At 42.5% G+C, this 17717-nt stretch overlaps 1 pseudogene across 3 annotated transcripts in view; it reads left to right on the top strand.

Moving 5' to 3' along the window:
- The first annotated feature begins 3736 nt into the window (after positions 1 to 3736).
- The window catches only part of GOLGA2P10 (GOLGA2 pseudogene 10), a 42523-nt pseudogene continuing 28542 nt past the window's right edge, over positions 3737 to 17717 (top strand). For 2 of the 3 annotated variants that reach the window (NR_033936.3, NR_026811.3), the window contains exon 1: positions 3737 to 4070. The product of NR_033936.3 is annotated as a GOLGA2 pseudogene 10, transcript variant 2 (transcript). The remainder of the gene's footprint in view (positions 4071 to 17717) is intronic. The other variant, NR_103496.2, reaches the window with a different exon arrangement.

Genomic DNA, 17717 nt, shown 5'->3' with positions numbered 1-17717 from the left:
ACAGGATATTAAAGTTTTGAATTTTTTTCACCTTCATCCTTCCACGTTAATAGAATTAAGCCAAAATACTTGTCTTCCAAAGCCTCTAGCCAGGCAAAATTTTACTATATTACTTCTTGCTTTTCAATGGCTATAAAGCAGACTCCTGGTAGGCACATTTGGTATACCTGCAAAGATGAAGAACTAAACAGTTCCATCTGTTCAATACTGAAACAAAAGTCCTGCAAACCTCGGATGGTGAGTGTAATACTTCAGCACTAGCACCAAAGCCTCAAATATGAAAAGATACCAAGAACACCACTAGCAAACAAAACTAAACTCTCGGCTGGGAGCTCTAGTTCATGCCGTAATCCCAGCACTTTGGCAAGCAAAGGTGGGAGGATTACTTGAAGTCAGGAATTCAAGACCAGCCTTGGCAGCATAGTGAATTCACACCTCTACAGAAAGTTTTTAAAATTAGCTGGGTGTGGCAGCACACTTCCTGGGGCAGATGTGCCATTGCTGGAAACTTCTCTATGGAGAGTACCAAGTACTTCTACCTGTAGCATTTTCCCTGGCTGGAATCCTGCAATTATCACAGTAGCCCGAGATCCAAGAAGGCAGAGCAGGAGCATCCTGTCCCCTCCCCAGCAGGTGCAAGGGAGGCTGGGGGGTGAGGCACAAGCCCGTGGGAGGGTGAGGAGCAGGAGGGATGCATGGTGAGCCTCTGTTGACTGCTTGCTGCCTCAGCTGGAAGGTCAGGACCAAATGTCTATTACAGGTTAAATTACAGAAGTATTTCAGATTTTGGATTTTTTTCAGATTTTGGAATTCGAAAATCTGAAATCCAAAATGCTCCAATGAGCATTTCCTTTGAATCTGGCCTTCGAACATCATGTCGGCACTCAAACAGTTTTGGATTTTGAAGCATTTCAGATTTTGGATTTTCGGATGAGGGATGCTGTATTATCTTCTGAATGAGGCCACTCATTCAGGAAAGCCCAGAGCTTGGGGACGTGGAGCTGCAGACCAAAGAGGTGATTTCTGTAGTGGCTTTCAGTGCGGAAGGGCCTACAAAGTGGTTTAAAGCAAGCCACAAAATAGGAAACCCAATATTTAGCTAATGGAACTCTGATAAAACCTGCTCAAGATGTCTGTCTCTACTAATTCAGATGGAGCCAAGCCAAAGCATCATTATTATTTTAAAAAGGCACCAATCCCTCTGCAAAAGCACTGAATTATATCATGATACAATCATCAATTGTACCATGAATCACCATCAGCGGTGGTCTTTTAGGGATATGAAGAAGGGGTTTTCACAATACATCGCATGACACACCATCTTCCAAATCTCTAAACATTTCTCTCCACAGCCCAGTCCTCTCCATAGTTGTCCAAATCCCTCCCTCTTTTCTCTTGTTGTCTCCAAAACTCAAAACCATGCTCTGACTTTCTATATCCCGCCCTCCCCTTCTTGGACCACCTGGGAAGCCCCCTGCTTCCCCAGGGTGTCCCCTCCTCCCCTTCTGGGATCAGTCATCTTTCCTCAAATGGACCAGTTCGGCCTCTCTTAGTTTCTCCAACTCTGCATCTCAACCTTTCTCCCTTCACTACACAATAATGTCCAGGAGGCAAAGAGCCCACAAACCTGGGAACCTCCCTTTCCAGAAGGGAGGTTCTGGAATGACTACAAATATTTGGTTATGATTTTCTTCCCTGCCACGCCTGTTTTCATGGGCAGTGCTGAGCCCCGGTCCTGGCAGAGCTCAGAACCAGGCTCTCATGAGCTGGGGCAAGTGGGGCCTAGGGAACCTCTGGGTTGAGGACCTTGCACCCCACTCTGCAGCTGCCCTGCTGATTTGGCTCATGCAACCTCTCCTCCTGGGCTCAAGCGATCCTTCTACATCGGTCTCCCAAGTAGCTGGGATTTGGGCTACCACGTTTGGCTAATTTTTGTATCTTTTAGTACAGATGGGGTTTCACCTGTAGCCCAGGCTGGTCTCGAACTCCTGGGCTCTAGTGATCTACCCTCCTCAGCCTCCCAAAGTGCTGGGATTACAGGTGTGAGCCACTGCGCCCGGCCTTGTGCCAGCTTTTAAATATCAACAAGGACAAATTAGAGAACAGTGGAAGAGGGTGAGCAGCATGATGAGGTGATACAGAAATAATTTCACATGAAGAACTGGGCATGCCTGGCTTTTTTTTTTTTTTAAGCTATTCTGGGTTGGATGCTGAGGCTCACACCTGTAAGCCTGTAATCCCAGCACTTTGGGAGGCCGAGGTGGGTGGATCACCTGAAGTCAGGAGTTTGAGACCAGCCTGGCCAACATGGTGAAACCCTGTCTCTACTAAAAATACAAAAAATTAGCTGGAATTGGTGGCATGTGCCTGTAATTCCAGCTACTCGGGCAGCTGAGGCAGGAGAATCGCTTGAACCTGGGAGGCGGAGGTTGCAGTGAGCTGATATCGTGCCATTGCACTCCAGCCTGGGCAACAAGAGTGAAACTCTGCCTCAAAAAAAAAAAAAAAAAAAGAAAGAAAGAAAAGAAAATATATCTATGCACCAGAGCTCAACACTAGGTTAGGAGCATTTCTGAGATTTGGAGCTATTCAACCATGGAAGTTCCTGGCACATACATCAGGTATTCACAATACCCTTTCTCAGGTGTTTGGTCACTGCTAGTGAGCCTGCCTGGATCAGTGTTTCCCAAATGGCAGTCATTTGCATCTTTGCATTTTTTTTGGGGGGGGGGGGTTGTGGGGGTATATACCATACCAGATTTTTTAAAAATTGACATTAAAAATACATGTATAAAATGTGTAAAGTGCACTAATCTAAAGTGCACTGGATGTATTTTTTATTGATGTACATACTTTTGTTATCCATCACCCAGGTCAAAATACAGAATCAGCACCACAGAGGGTTCCCTCCTCCTCCTTCCCAGCCAATAATCTTCTCCTCCTACCTAACCAACTGTTCTTACTTCAATCACTGTCAACTACTATTTTACATTCTTGAACTGCATATAAAGTGTCTCAAGTTTCACTTAACACTTTTCTTGAAATACACTTGTTTTTTGCCACTTTTTATTTGACCTAAGAAGTAACATTAATGAAACAATGATTTGACGTGATAGGCATTTCCCTCCTAATGAGCACTAAAACACTTAACTATTTGAAAAAAGAAGTTTCTCCGTGTACCAGCTAATATATTCTCCTCGGCCGCCGTTGGTACACGGACCACATTTTGTTTCTCAAAGCAATCCGATGATTTCTGAGGTCCTTTGCAGCTTGAACACGGAACGACTGTGGTGATCGAGTAGCCAAAAGTTCACGGAATGCACTGTCACAATTGTGATTCCGCCATAGCGCCGTGCATCCATCCAACACTTGTTTAATACCTATATTTAATACCTAATACCTTAGACTGTCCTAGGCTGTGGACACAGAAGACTAAACCCCACTTCCTGAGTTGAAGTGGGGGAAATAGAGGAGTAAATCATTTCACGATGTGTGGTTAAATGCTACAGCTCAGGTAACCACGAGCACACAGAGAAAGGGCAGTTTCTAGAAACAGGGCGGAGAGGAGACCGTGAGTGGGCATTTCCCAGAGCAGTCTCTGCCAGCCACCCTGCTGTGATCACTTTGCCACAGAGCAGCCCCGGCGGTCAACCTCAGCCTCCCTTAGCAACCTGAGCGCCCCGCCCAGGTGCCTTACTATTGGTCTCGTGGAGCGGGATGGGCAGCTCTGCCGTGCAATCCCAGCTCGCAGCCCTTGCTCCGCGTGTACTCACGGGAGGACTCGCAGACGTTACTGCCCTCTTGCGTGCCCCGGCCACCCCCGGGCGGCTTGTAGCCGGTGCGCGGGGTGGCTGGGGCTACGTGCAGAGCTGTCGCGGAGCCGGAACAGCAGCGGTGAAGCCCCTCGGCTCGGCCGAGACCGCCGTGCCCACTGCTCGCCTCGGTTGCCGCCGCTTTAGCCGCAGCCGCTGCTGCCGCCGCCGGGGGAGAGGCAGCCTATTGTCTTTCTCCGCGGCGAAGGTGAGGAGCTGTCTCGGCTCGGCCCGCGGGGGAGCCCCGGGAGCCGCACGGTGAGAGCGCAACTTAGTTGGCGGAGTTGGGGGAAGTTTTGTGATTTGAGGAGGGGTCGGGGTGCGGAGCGCGGCCCGTCCCCTGCGGCCGCTCGGTGGGGCGGGCCCCAGAGGAGGGTCGGGGGCTGCGCGGGGCTTCAGGGGCGGGCGGCACGGATGGGTAGCCGGGCGGCGCGGGGACCTCAGCTTTGCGGACCCCTCCTCCCTGCGCATCACCCTTCTCCCGCATTGTCTGCTTGGGGCTCGGCGCGCCTCCCACTCCGCAGCCCAACTTGGGGGCCGTCGCCGCTTTCCGGATGGGGGGCGCGCCCGGCGGCGGATGGCCCCGAACCCTTGCCCCGGGTCCCCGGGTTGGCGCCGCTGGGGCGGACTCACTCCTCCCCTGGGGCGGGCGGCCGCGGTGTGGAGTCCGCGCCGCGAACAAGTGCTGCGGGCGCGAGGGAGCGGTTCCCCGGGGCCGACGCGGACGGTAAACCTGTCCGGCGGCGCCCGCCTGCTGGGGCCTCTCCGCTGTTTCTCGCGGGCGCGGCCCGGCTGAAACTGCGACCGTCGGAGGCGAGCGGCCCTCTGGGACCCGTGCAGCCGGTCCACCTTGCAGCTATACTTTGAGACTAAACATTTTTTTTTTTTTTTTTTTGCAAAGGCAAACCGGTGTGTGAAGTTGAAAAAAGCAAAAACCCTCAAATTTTCCTTCTTTTTTCTTTTTTTTTTTTTTAAATCAAGAAAGGGGGTAGATAGGTTTGTTTTGTTTTGGAAATAGTTTTTATAGCAGAGTGATACCGTCACATTTAATGATCCTACTGTGAATTCAAGAATTCACGATGAAAGTTGGATTGAGCGGTATTTTGGTGTTCATTCTTTGCTGATACTCATTAATGAAGTTCGTTGGAGAATTTATTGCTTCAGTACAGTAAAAACCAGTGTGCCTTTTTTTTTGTTACTACTCCCCCCTCCCCGCATTGTTTTATTTTTCGAAGAAGCACTTTATTCAGTTTTTCTAAGCCACGGGATTGCCCAGATGAGGACCAACGGTGCAGTTCTTGAAAGGTCATTATTGGCAAGTTTGTGAGGGAGCTAAGATGAGTTGAGATAAACCAGTGTTACTGTTCTTGTATTCTGTCGTGGACTCTTGGGGATTTGCAGGCTGCATTAAGTACAAGTCTGGTCCAGTTTTGGGTGCACGTATTCCACTGAATTTGGTTCGTCTGGCTTATTATATGAACATGATTCTGTTTCACTTCCCCAGATGGAACTAGCTTAAATGTCTATCATTTATAGTGACAAATGATCAAAATGGCTAGAGTGTCATTTATTAACTTCAGTTGTAGTCTTTTACCTTACCTTCTGCTAAATGAAAAAGAAAAATTTGACAAATACTGTGTGCGTCATTTTGCTCTGAGTGATTTCTCGTGCTAAGTGAGTCCTGTGGAGAAGCGTTCCTGGGCTTTTCTGGTTTGGTGGGCCTTGTGTTATAAAACCAATTTTCTTCACCTGATGAAGCTAAAGACAAATTTTCTTCAGGCACAGGCATTGCCCTTTTAAACTACAGAGCCACTTGTAGGATTCACAATACTCACTCAATGGCTTCCCTTCCTGGCAGTGTGGTTTTGTGTGTGTGTGTGATTGTGGGGAAGGAGGCTGACAGAGGTTGGAAGGGATTGTCAGGGAGGGACATCATGTAAGCAAGTACTAACAACATAACGTGACGAGGGCACCAGTTGCTTTCCTTCTGTGGGCGGTGATGGCATGTTATACTGTAGGTACTATTGTTGTAGGATTTCTCACAGTTCGTTTGCCTTGACTAAATGGTAACTGCACACATACTATACTATAAATGGACTCCTCCTCTAGTCCTTTAACTCCTTGAGGGCTGTGATAGACCTTATTTAACTTTGTACCCTCTTTGCCAGTGGTCTTAACATAGTGCAGGCACGGTATGTGTTTGAATTGGGTAAATTACTTTTACTGCCTAGTGGTAGCTGGTGTACACAGGAGAGGGCCACCAACTCTGGGGACTTGTCCAAAATGACAATTCACTTGCAGATCTCTGATGAAATTTACTTTAAAAGGATTTCTAACCTTTTTTTTAATCTGTCGGTTATTTTTTGAAAAGAAGTGGGGCTTAACTAGTGCTCTAAGGATTTTAACAAGAGATTCCGATTTAGAAATCTGTCCCCCCTTTTGGTGAAATTCTTATTTTTTTTAGAGTCAGAATCTTCACTGTTGCCCAGTTGTCTCCCCGGGACCCAAGCCGTCTTCCCACCTCAGCCTCCCACAGTACTGGAATTACAGGCGTGAGCCACCCCACCCAGCTGGTGAAATTATTAAAATTGTAGTGAAAACTCTGCCTCCATTGTGAAATTGGAAAAAAATTAGAAATTTTAGAAAAAAGTACGCCCTTTGGAGCTAGGTAGAGTTCACATCCCCACATTTCCATTGAGTAGTTGCATAGCCTCTCAGAGCTTCAGCTTCCTACTCCTTAAGGGTTAGTAACATGCTTTGCAGTGTTGTTAGAAATCAGTGAAACTGTGTGAGATACTTAACTGCAGTATCTAACATGGAGTAGGTAGCTATTTCCTGGTAGCTGTAATGATAATAATTTTGATACGTTTTTACATGACTTAAGCATTCTGAAAAGTCTGATGCTTCTGAGTATGGAGGCTTAGCTATTTCTTTCATAAAGAAGGGGCCCTGAGACTTGTGAGTCTTATCCAAATGCATTTCTTCAAAGGTGTCAGATGAACTGAAGGATAATGGAAACAATAGCAAATTTATCTTCTCAGTCACCTGTGAGTCTTCCTTTGAGAGTGGGACTTGCAGAGTACTTGGTAGGGTAGAGCTCTTTGTGACTATGCTATTTAGGAAATGGTGAGAGATGGATTGTTTTCAGTACATCAGTCATAAGAGGATATGAGTGAGTTCCAACTTTCCTTATTTTACCTTAGTCTTGACAAATAACAAGTATGGATTATGTCTGTATTTCTCCGACTTGTTTAAGGTAGAACTGGACTGGGTGTTAACAGTGTTAGTTCAGTAGAGACATGAGCAAATCACTCACTTCCCCTTCAAGATAACACTTTAAAGGTGCCACCATTTGCAGAAGAAAGCAGGATTTAAAGCAGCTATACTAGCACAGTTTAGAATACTTACACTAGCTGATGGAGTAGATACATTCTAGAAATATTTACCTGTAGTGGGAGTTGAACAGTGAGAACACACGGACACAGGGAGGGGGGAACATCACACACTGGGGCCTGTTGGGGGTTGGGGGGCTAGGGGAGGGATAGCATTAGGAGAAATACCTAGTGTAGATGACGAGTTGATGGGTGCAGCAAACCACCATGGCACGTGTGTACCTATGCAACAAACCTGCACGTTCTGCACATATACCCCAGAACTTAAAGTATAATAATAAGAAAGAAAAATAAATATTTACCTGTTAAGGACATTTCTGTGTATTTTATTCCATCTTTCCAATAGTTTTCTTATGAAGAGATTATAGTAAACCTTTGAACTTAACAGATTGAGGGTAAACCTTTAAAAAATATATTTGGTCACACTTACAGACTGAGGGTAAAAACATTCCTGACAAAGCTAGGCGAAGACACTTGGACTTTTTTTTTTTTTTGAGACGGAGTCTCGCTCTGTCACCCAGGCTGGAGTGCAGTAGTACGATCTTGGCTCACTGCAACCTCTGCTTCCCCGGTTGAAGCGAATCTTCTGCCTCTCCCGAGTAGCTGGGACTACAGGCACACGCCACCATGCCTGACTAATTTTTTATTTTTAGTAGAGACGGGGTTTCACCATATTGACCAGGCTGGTCTTGAACTCCTGACCTTGTGATCCACCCGCCTCAGCCTCCTAAAGTGCTGGGATTACAGGCATGAGCCACTGCACCCGGCTGAAACTTGGACTTTTGATGTTTCCTTCTTTTAAAGTTAACATCTAGCACTTGAATAGACTTGGTTATTACTGATGGGGACAGGCATCCATTTGGAAGTAGCTTCCCTCTCTCTCTCTTTCCCAGGTTAGGCTGTCTTACTGCTGTAAATGGGGAGAGAAGAGAAAGCCGTGGGTGGAAGAAAGTGTTTCATGGCCTGGTGCGGTGGCTCATGCCTGTAATCCCAGCACTTTGGGAGGCCGAGGCGGGTGGATCACTTGAGTTCAGGAGTTCAAGACCAGCCTGGCCAACATGGTGAAACCCCGTTTCTACTAAAAACAGAAAAATTAGCTGGGCATGGTGGCGGGCACCTGTAATCCCAGCTACTTGGGAGGCTGAGGCAGGAGAATCACTTGAACCCAGGAGATGGAGGTTGCAGTGAGCCGAGATTGCACCACTTCACTCCAGCCTGGTCGACAGAGCGAGACCTTGTCTCAAAAAAAAAAAAAAAAAAAAAAAGTGTCCCACTCAGTTGCCCAGGCTGAAACGCAGTGGCAGGATCACTGCTCACTGCAGCCTTGAACCAAGCGATTATCCCACCTCAGCCTCCCAAGTAGCTGGGATCACATGCATGCACCGCCATGCCTGGCTAATTTTTTTATTTTTGTAGAGACAGGGTCTCTCTATGTTGCCCAGCCTGGTCTCAAACTCCCGGGATGAAGCAATCCTCCCACCATGGTCTCCCAAAGTGTAGGGCTTACAGGCGTGAGAGCCTGCTGGGGTTTTTGATTGACATTGCATTGAAACTGGAAATCAGTTAGGAGGCAACTGACATTTTAATAATGAGCCATGAACATGGTATATCTATTTATTTAGACCTTCTTAGATTTTTCGTCAGTGTTTTGTAGTTTTTAGCAGTTGGATCTTGCTTGTATTTTGAAATCTTACACATTTATTTCATGTTTGTGGTACTGTTGTGAATGATACTTCTCAATTTCCAGTTGGTGATTGCTAGTATATAGGAAGGTGATTTTATGTTATATGCTGACCTTGGATTCTACAACCTTGCTAAACTCATTTTTAGTACTAGAAGCTTTTTTGTAGATTTTTGGAATTTTGTGCATAGACAGTAATGTCACTGGCAAATAAGGGCAGTTTAATTTCTTTGTTTTCACTTTGTATACTTTTATTTCCTTTTTTTTTTTTGAGACGGAGTTTCTCTCTTGTTGCCCAGGCTGGAGTGCAATGGCGTGATCTAGGCTCGCTGCAACCTCTGCCTCCTGGGTTCAAGCGATTCTCGTGCTTCAGCCTCCCCAGTAGTTGGCATTACAGGCGCCCGCCAGCACGCCTGGCTAATTTTTGTATTTTTAGTAGAAATAGGGTTTCACCATGTTGGCCAGGATGGTCTCAAACTCCTGACCTCAGGTGATCTCCCCGCCTCGGCCTCCCAAAATGCTGGGATTATAGGTGTGAGCCACCGCTTCCGGCCTAAGAGGACACAGTTTCTTTGGCTTATTAAGAGGTATTTGGTTAGTGTTAGACCGGGGGTTGGTACATTATAGCTTGCTGACTGGATGTACCATGCTGCCTCTTTTTATAAATGAAGTTTTATTGGAACACAGCCACACCCATTCATTTACATATTGTTTAACAGAGACCATATGACCTACAGACCCTAAAATATTTACCACTTTGCGCTTCGCAGGCATTTTGCTGGCTACTGCTGTGGACACCAATTTTAATTTAGGTAGATAAACTTTTTTGTAGCTTCTGAGGTTTTGCATTAATTTGCTCAGGCATATAGGTTGGTGGAAGTGCTTTCCGTTCCTTCTCCCAAACCACTCACACAGCCATATAACTTCATGCCTGAGTTTCTGTGTGGTCCTCTATGGTGAGTGAGTTTTTACATACTTCTTTGCAGCAGCATGAATTTCAAAAATCTCAACACTTTTGCTCTTGCTAATCTTTGTAAACTTTGCACACCCAGTGCTGGTACATTCTGATGATAGTGCCCACACTGCACTCTATGAAGAAAAGACTGATGATTGTTTATATTAAAATGCAGGAAGAGAATTGTAGCGGCAACTTTTGCTTCTCTAATCAGCAACATCATAAGAGACTTACTATGTGTGGGCAGGGGGGAGAATGTTAATTTATACATTGAGATAGTTGTATTAAAATTGAGTGACTCTTACTGTGACATAAAGTGAATGTGTCTCTCTTATACAGCAGAAAACTATTAAATTTGTTTTTTCTCAGCAGTATAAAATAAAGTGGAAAATGTGGGAAGAATACAAATCCTTAACTTCTGTGCTTCTGCTTATTTCACACCCCTCAAATTTCTGATTCCTTTCAACTGTAGCTGGCTTTACTACTGAGTGGTGAAATTGCTGAACATACTTAAAACTACATCATTTAAGACTTTGAATTTTGACATCTCCTCCTCTTCACAGTCTTTCAAATACTAGGCAACCTGTAGGGTTCCACTGTGTCTGTCATGTGTTGTCCCTGTGTTACATGAAAGCAGCCCCAGTGAACTTGTGAATTTGCTCAGTCATTTCACTGGCTACTGGGTGAGGAAGAAGTAGGATTTTCTCTCTTAAAATTCCTTGGTGAAATCATTGGATGGGCACGGTGTGTTTCTTTAATTTTCCTTTTGGTCAAAAATCTGACAAAGCAAAGACTTTCAGTTGTTCTTGGTCTTTCAATAGGTTTAGTTTTTAAGTGTGTCTACTCTGACCAAAAATTGCCTTCCTGTAATATGCTCCTTCCTTTAGAACACAGTTCTTAAGTAGAGTTTGTTTGTTTAAATGTATAAAAATAAGTTAATGCATTCTATGCAGCGAGGTTTTGCATCAGAACCCTGAGTTCTCAATGTGGCAGGTTTAAGTGTCTAGAACACCTTTTACCTGTTTTTTCTATTACTTGCTTTTTTATATTTGGGGTAAATGATATCTTTCTCAGGGAGGCCTTCCCTCAGCACCATGTTTAAGAGGGCATCTCCCTCATTTGCTATTCCTTCTTCTGTTTTATTTTGCTATATGGAATTTGCTACTATGTGAAAACTATTTTAATGTTTTATTTACCTGTGTTACCCCTAGAATAATATCTATGAAGGTAGGGATTTTTATCTGTTCCTTCTGTGCCTACAGAGTGTTGAGGAGTATGGTGTCTGGCACGTTGTAGGTGCACAGTGACAGCTGAATTAATAACGTCAGGGAGAGTTTGTAGGATGGGGCTCAAGGTGTAGGGCAAGTCAGTTTTTAGATTTGAGGTTATTAGCAGGAGACGATGTGGGGGGAAAACACATGTTTTAATGTCAGACTGGGTTTGAATCTGGTCTCTCCAACTTACCCTTTGACCTTGGTGTTAAATAATTTAACCTTTGAAAGATCAACTTTTTCACTAGTGAAACGGGAAATAGTATCTTTTTAATGGGGATTAAATGTAATATCAAATATAATGCTCTGTAAATGTTAGTTTTGTCTTTCCCCTTGTGTGCCAGCATTGTGGAAGTCTGAAAGCAACCTGAATTTACCAGTCTGTTTCTGGAGCCTTCTGGGGTCATTACTTTGATTACTTTTGACAGATACATTCTTTTCAGCAGCCTGCATTGCCAGCATAACAATGACCTGTCCCTTTGACCAGTGTGGGGGACAGACACTTTGTCATCCCTCTTTTAATCCGTGTATCAGAACAACTCCTACAAGTTCTGGCTTTGAAACATGTTTAGAGGAGTTTATAATTCCGAACAGTTCAGATGACATCAGCCCTTTCTTAGAGTCCTCTGAGTTTGCTCAGCTTCCTCATTCCAGTGTGGCGGGAACCATTCAGTTAAATTGATGTTTGTGGTCTTTACACATAGTCATCCTAAGTTTCTTGCAAATCATGAGCTATCAGAGGGCTACTAAGTCACTAGTTTGTCTCTGTAGATTTCTCTAATCCAAGCTTGTCCAACCGCGGCCTGCAGGCTGCATGCAGCCTGTGAAGGCTTTGAATGTGGCCCAATACAAATTCGTAAACGTTCTTAAAACATTGGCCGGGCACGGTGGCTCACACCTGTAATCCCAGCACTTTGGGAGGCCGAGGTGGGTGGATCACCTGAGGTCAGGAGTTTGAGACCAGCCTGGCCAACATGGTGAAACCCCGTCTCTACTAAAAATACGAAAATTAGCTGGGCATGGTGGCACACGCCTATCATCCCAGCTACTCGGGAGGCTGAGGCAGGAGAATGGCTTGAACCCAGGAGGCAGAGGTTGCAGTGAGCCAAGATGGTGCCACTGCACTCCGGCCTGGGTGACAGAGTGAGGCTCCACCTCACAACAAACAAAAAATTATGAGATTTTCCTTTTTTGCAATTTTTTTAAAGCTTAGCAGCTATTATTAGTGTTCGTGTATTTTATGTGTGGCGCAAGACAATTCTTCTTCCAGCGTGGCCCAGGGAAGCCAGAAGATTGGATCCCGCTCCTTTAAGTTTTATGGATTAACAAGGGGTTAATTCCTGTATCAGTTTCACTGATGTTTCTTCTGCTTGATGCAGGAACACTTGACAAGTTAGTTAAGGTAGATTGGTCCATAAATGTATAGGTTCTTTCATTCCCATGTCCTAGGCAAGTCTGAGCAGGACCTGGAAAGCTGATTAAAAGGCCAGTGAGCACAGTGAGCTTAATTGTAAATTAAATGGATATTTAATACATTAAGAAGGCACTCAAGCCTTTCAATCTTTCATTTTCATCCATGCTTGCTATTTGAATCTGATGGGCTTGATATTGACCTTGTTCTTCTTGTAAAAATGTTGGTTATTGCTGCCTTTCTCAAGCTTGGTTTTCAGTGTGGATTTCTGCAGATAATTTTTGCACCTAAAAGTACAAAGTCATTAAGTGAAGGCAGTCAGGAAGGAAAGAGTGCCCTGAGCCAGGAGGTCTGTTATAGCACATGGGGTGGGCAAGAAAATGAATGGACATGGGCATGGAGGTGGTTCAGTCAGTGTGGGAAGGCCACCTGCTTGTCAGCTTTCTACTGCGTTGTCCAGCAGAACACGTTGAAGCTTGGGGCCTGCAACTCGTGTAGAGATGATTGCATTTAGGAGGCTGAGGTAGATTTTTTCCCTCTTAAGTGTGTGCTCACTGCTTTTTGGCGAAGTCTTGACCCGAGACATACACAGCTTGATCTGTGAGGATTTTAACATCGAGATGGTTCTGTTATTTGAGTTAGGCATGGCTAGGCTACCAAGGCATTGCTTTTCAGTCCAAACATTTGGTCATTTCAATTTATTGTTAGTGAGGTTTTTGCGATTTGTTAGAACACAGAGTTTGGGATTTTGTCTGTTTTTTGCATGTGTGAACGACACTTGATATTGTTGTTTATATTGCTGGTTAGTATGTGCCTTCATTTACCTATTGTGAGTAAGAAACTTCCTCAGATCAAATTATAGTGAAGTCGCTTGGTTCTGTTTCTCTGACTCTTAAGAGGATGAGATCACTTTATACACAAACTCAAGCTGTTTGGTAAAGGACCTACCATTCTGAGCATTCATAGCCTAGATGAAGTCCTGGTCCAATCACCAAGTTAAACTTTTAAAAAACATGCTGTTCTTAATGTTCAGGAATTCAACCCTGGAAGCCTTCTCTAAATCTTAGTGAGAGTTTTATGAGAATTCATTTAGTGAAAATATCTATCAGGGAATCCGGCTATTAACTTTGAGGAGGGTCATGCCTTTTAGTGGTTAGAGAGGCAAGCTGTAGCCTCCCTTCTCAGAGAAGGGGAATTGAGGAAGAGGGTTCTAGTGGTCCCTTGCAATCCTCCCCTCACTTTCCAGGCTCCCTAGTAAGACCGGAAGAAGTCCCTGAGTAAACAGCATTTTGTGAGTTTGAGGGACTATGTAAAAATGTAAGTGAACATACAATGGTTTTGCTTTGATAACTGTTTTAAATATCCTGTTGGTTGTTGAAACTTCTGTGACGGTGAAGCCTTTTTTGCCTTTATTTTTCAATCGGAAGATCTTTCTTCCCCACTTGAAAAGATGGAGTCTGGGGTCAATCCCTGACCCCGCTTCCTTCCTAAATCTCTTAGTGTATAGCATACAGCTGGGCATATGGTAATCTCAGGCACGGGATTGTACTCATAGAGCTATGCTTGACACCTAGGTCTTTAGATGGCTTCTATATTTTTGATGACAACTTTTAATTTTATTCTCATTTATTCCATTTCTGTTTCAGTGTCCTGGGTCATGAAACTTAATCCACAACAAGCTCCCTTATATGCGAGTAAATCATACGATTTCTTTTCATTTTGTATTTATTTGTTCTGTTTACTTGTTATAATAAGCCACACTCTCACATGATAGATCCTCAAGGAAAATTTTAACCATATGTGCATGAATATATTGGTGTAAGACACTTCAGAAATTGAGTTTGATTTAGTAAGTACTAAATGGCTAATCTGTGCATGGAACTGAAAACAAATAATACCTGTAAGACTTGAGAGTTAATTTAGTCAGGGCGATAGTATGCACGTATGAAACAAATTGTCCTGCCAAACAGTACTGTAGCTTCTTATTTTTTACCTGCAGTGCATTCCTGTAAAAGTAGTGTGGAGATCCTCCTACTGCCACTGTGATTTACGTTATGTTGCCACTAGGTGGCACTATGTCATTGGCAAGAGTGCTGTTTTCTTTAGGACTCTGGGTGAAAGCTGATATATCATCTCCCTGAAGTGAGGGACTTTGAAGATAAAATTGATAAATGATTGAATCAAGGCTGGAAAAGGTAGGCTGTAGGCGACTATTCTTCATTATTGTAAGAGTGAATTAATTGAATTTGGGTGGTGAAAAGTACCCGTTTGATGAGAAGCCAGCTTAGGGTTGTGGATGGTTAGAGCTGTGAGAGGCCAGTAGATGCTGGGTTGCTATGCTCTGGAGAGGGTGAGAAAATATATTTGTAATAGGACTTGATTCCAGCCTTCAAGAATATGGATCATTTATTTGGACAAAACGTCCCCAGAATTAGTTGAAGACAAAAGGCAAATGGTCAGGAATGGGAGGCAGTGAACATAGTGTTGGATGAATAGTCGGGGGATGGTCAGTGGAAACTCTGGCCCACCCAAGTTTGTGTCAGGTAATAATGGGAGATAAGCCTGAAAAGGTGGATAAAGCTCAATTGTGAAGGAAGACAAAGGTGTGAGGATTTTGTTTTGTGACCACCGAGGAGCCATTGATGGTGTTTATTTTAAGGATGCTTTTCCTTTTATGCGTTTGTACATAAAAACATAAATGTACTTAACCATTCTGTATTAATAATAGTCATTTACCTTTCCAACATAAAATGTTCATGTAACTTCTGCATAGCTGATTTTTACGTTAAATGTAACATGTAAAGAAATATATGTGTGTTTTTAGAAGACGTCTTATGTGCTCATTTTCTTTCTAGATTACTTGGAGATAATTTATGTTTACCAGTGGTTTTGCATGTGAACTGGGTACCTTGGGTTATTTATTATTATTATTATTATTATTTAGAAAACGGGTCTCGCACTGTCATCCTTGTTGGAGTGCAGTGGAGCGATCATAGCTCGCTGCAGCCTTGAAGTCCTGGGCTCTAAGCAGTCCTGCTTCAGCCTCCCGAGTAACTGGGAGTACAGGCGCATGCCACCATGCCGAGCTAAATCCTCCCTTTTAAAGTGTGTGATTCTTTGGTTTTTCGTGTGTATACAGTTTTGTAATTGCCATTGTCTGACCAGAACATTTTCATCACCCCCCAAAAAAAGTGCCATATCCATTAGCAGTCACTCACCATTCCCTGCTCCTCTCAGGCTGTGGCAACCACTTGTATACTTCCTGTCTTTATTGATATACCTATTCTGGAAAGTTCATATATATGTATGATATATATGATGTATATATGATGTATATATGATGTATGTGGTATATATATGATATCATATATAATATGATATCTATCATATCTATCATATATAATATGATATCTATCATATCTATCATATATAATATGATATCTATCATATCTATCATATATAATATGATATCTATCATATCTATCATATATAATATGATATCTATCATATATATCATATATAATATATCTATCATATATATCATATTATATATATATCATATGATATCTATATCATATATATCATATGATATCATATATCTCATGATATCATATATCTCATATGATATATATCATATATCATATATATCATGATATATATCATATATCATATGATATATGATATATAATTTTTGTAAATATATATGATGTATATGAAAAAATATATATCATATATGATATATGATTTTATATATTTATATATAGAAATTTATATATATAAAATTATATATAATATATATAATTATATATATATAAAAGTTCATGTATATATAAAATCATGCAATACACGGCCTTTTGTGACTGGCTTCTTTAATTTAGCATAGTGTTTTCAAGATTCACTCATGTTAGAACATGAATCAGTACCTTGTTCTTTTTATTAATGAATGACAGTCCAATGACTGGTTACATCACATTTTACTTATCCATTCACCAGTTGATGGGCAGTTGAGTTGTTTCCACTTTTGGTCTATTATGCATAATGCTGCTGTGAACAGCAAGTTCTGGTGAAGACATATGTTTTCATTTCTCTTGGGTATATACCTAAGAGTAGAATTGCTTGGGTGTATGATAACTGTGTTTAACATTTTGAGAAATTGGAAAACTGTTTTCCACAGTGGCTGCACCATTTTACATTCCTACCAGCAGTGTGTAAGGACTTCAGTGTTTCCACGTGCTTGCCAACACATGTTATCTGACTTTCTGATCTATAGCCACCCTAATGGGCGTGAAGTGATACCTCATTGTGGTTTTGATTGCATTTCCCAAATGGCAAATGATTTTGAGCATCTTTTTATGTGCTTATTGGCCGTTTTTCCGTATCTTTGGAGAAATGCCTATTCACATCCTTTGCCTGTTTTTAAATTGGGTTGTCTTATTGAATTGTAAGGGTTCTTTGCATATTCTGACTACAGGTCCCTTATCAGATACATGATTTGCAAAAATTATCTCTCATTCTGTGGGTTGTCATTTCACTTCCTTGATGCTATCCTTTCAAGCAAAATTTTCAGTTTTGATAATGTTCTGTTGTTGATTTTTTTTTGGCATCATATCTAAGAACAATTCTTTGCCTAACCCAGAGTCACAGAGATTTACTCCTATGTTTTCTTCTAGAAATTTTATAGGTTTAGCTCTTACATTTAGGTATGTAATGTGAGAGTTCATTTTTGTGTGTTTTGTAAGGGAAGAGTCCAACTTTTTTCTTTTGCATGTGGATCTCTAGATGTTCCAGAAGCATTTGTTGAAAAGACTGTTCTTTCCCCAATTGAATTGTCTTGGGCATCGTTGTTGAAATTGATCATAAATGTGAGGAATTTTTTCTGGATGCTGAATTTGATTCCTTTCATTTAGGTTGTCTTTGATTTCTTTCAACAGTGTTTTGTAGTGTTCATTGTATAAACTTGGTACTTTCTTGAAATTTGTTGCTTATGATTTTATTCATTTTGATGCGATTGTTAATTTTGTTATCTTAATTGTTCAGTTTTTGATTGTTCATTGATTATATATAGAAATACTATTGATTTTTGCATACCGGTCTCTGAAACTGTAGCCTTGTTTCAGAGGTCAATTATAGACTATAATCTGGCTTGTTTGTTTGGCAACAGCTCTTAAGTGGATGCCTTAGGATTTTCTATGTAC

This window comes from Homo sapiens, chromosome 15 (assembly GCF_000001405.40).
Source record: "Homo sapiens chromosome 15, GRCh38.p14 Primary Assembly".
Taxonomy (NCBI): Eukaryota; Metazoa; Chordata; class Mammalia; order Primates; family Hominidae; genus Homo; species Homo sapiens.
Note: the sequence above shows the minus strand (reverse complement) of the source record. Positions and strands in the feature narration are given on the sequence as shown.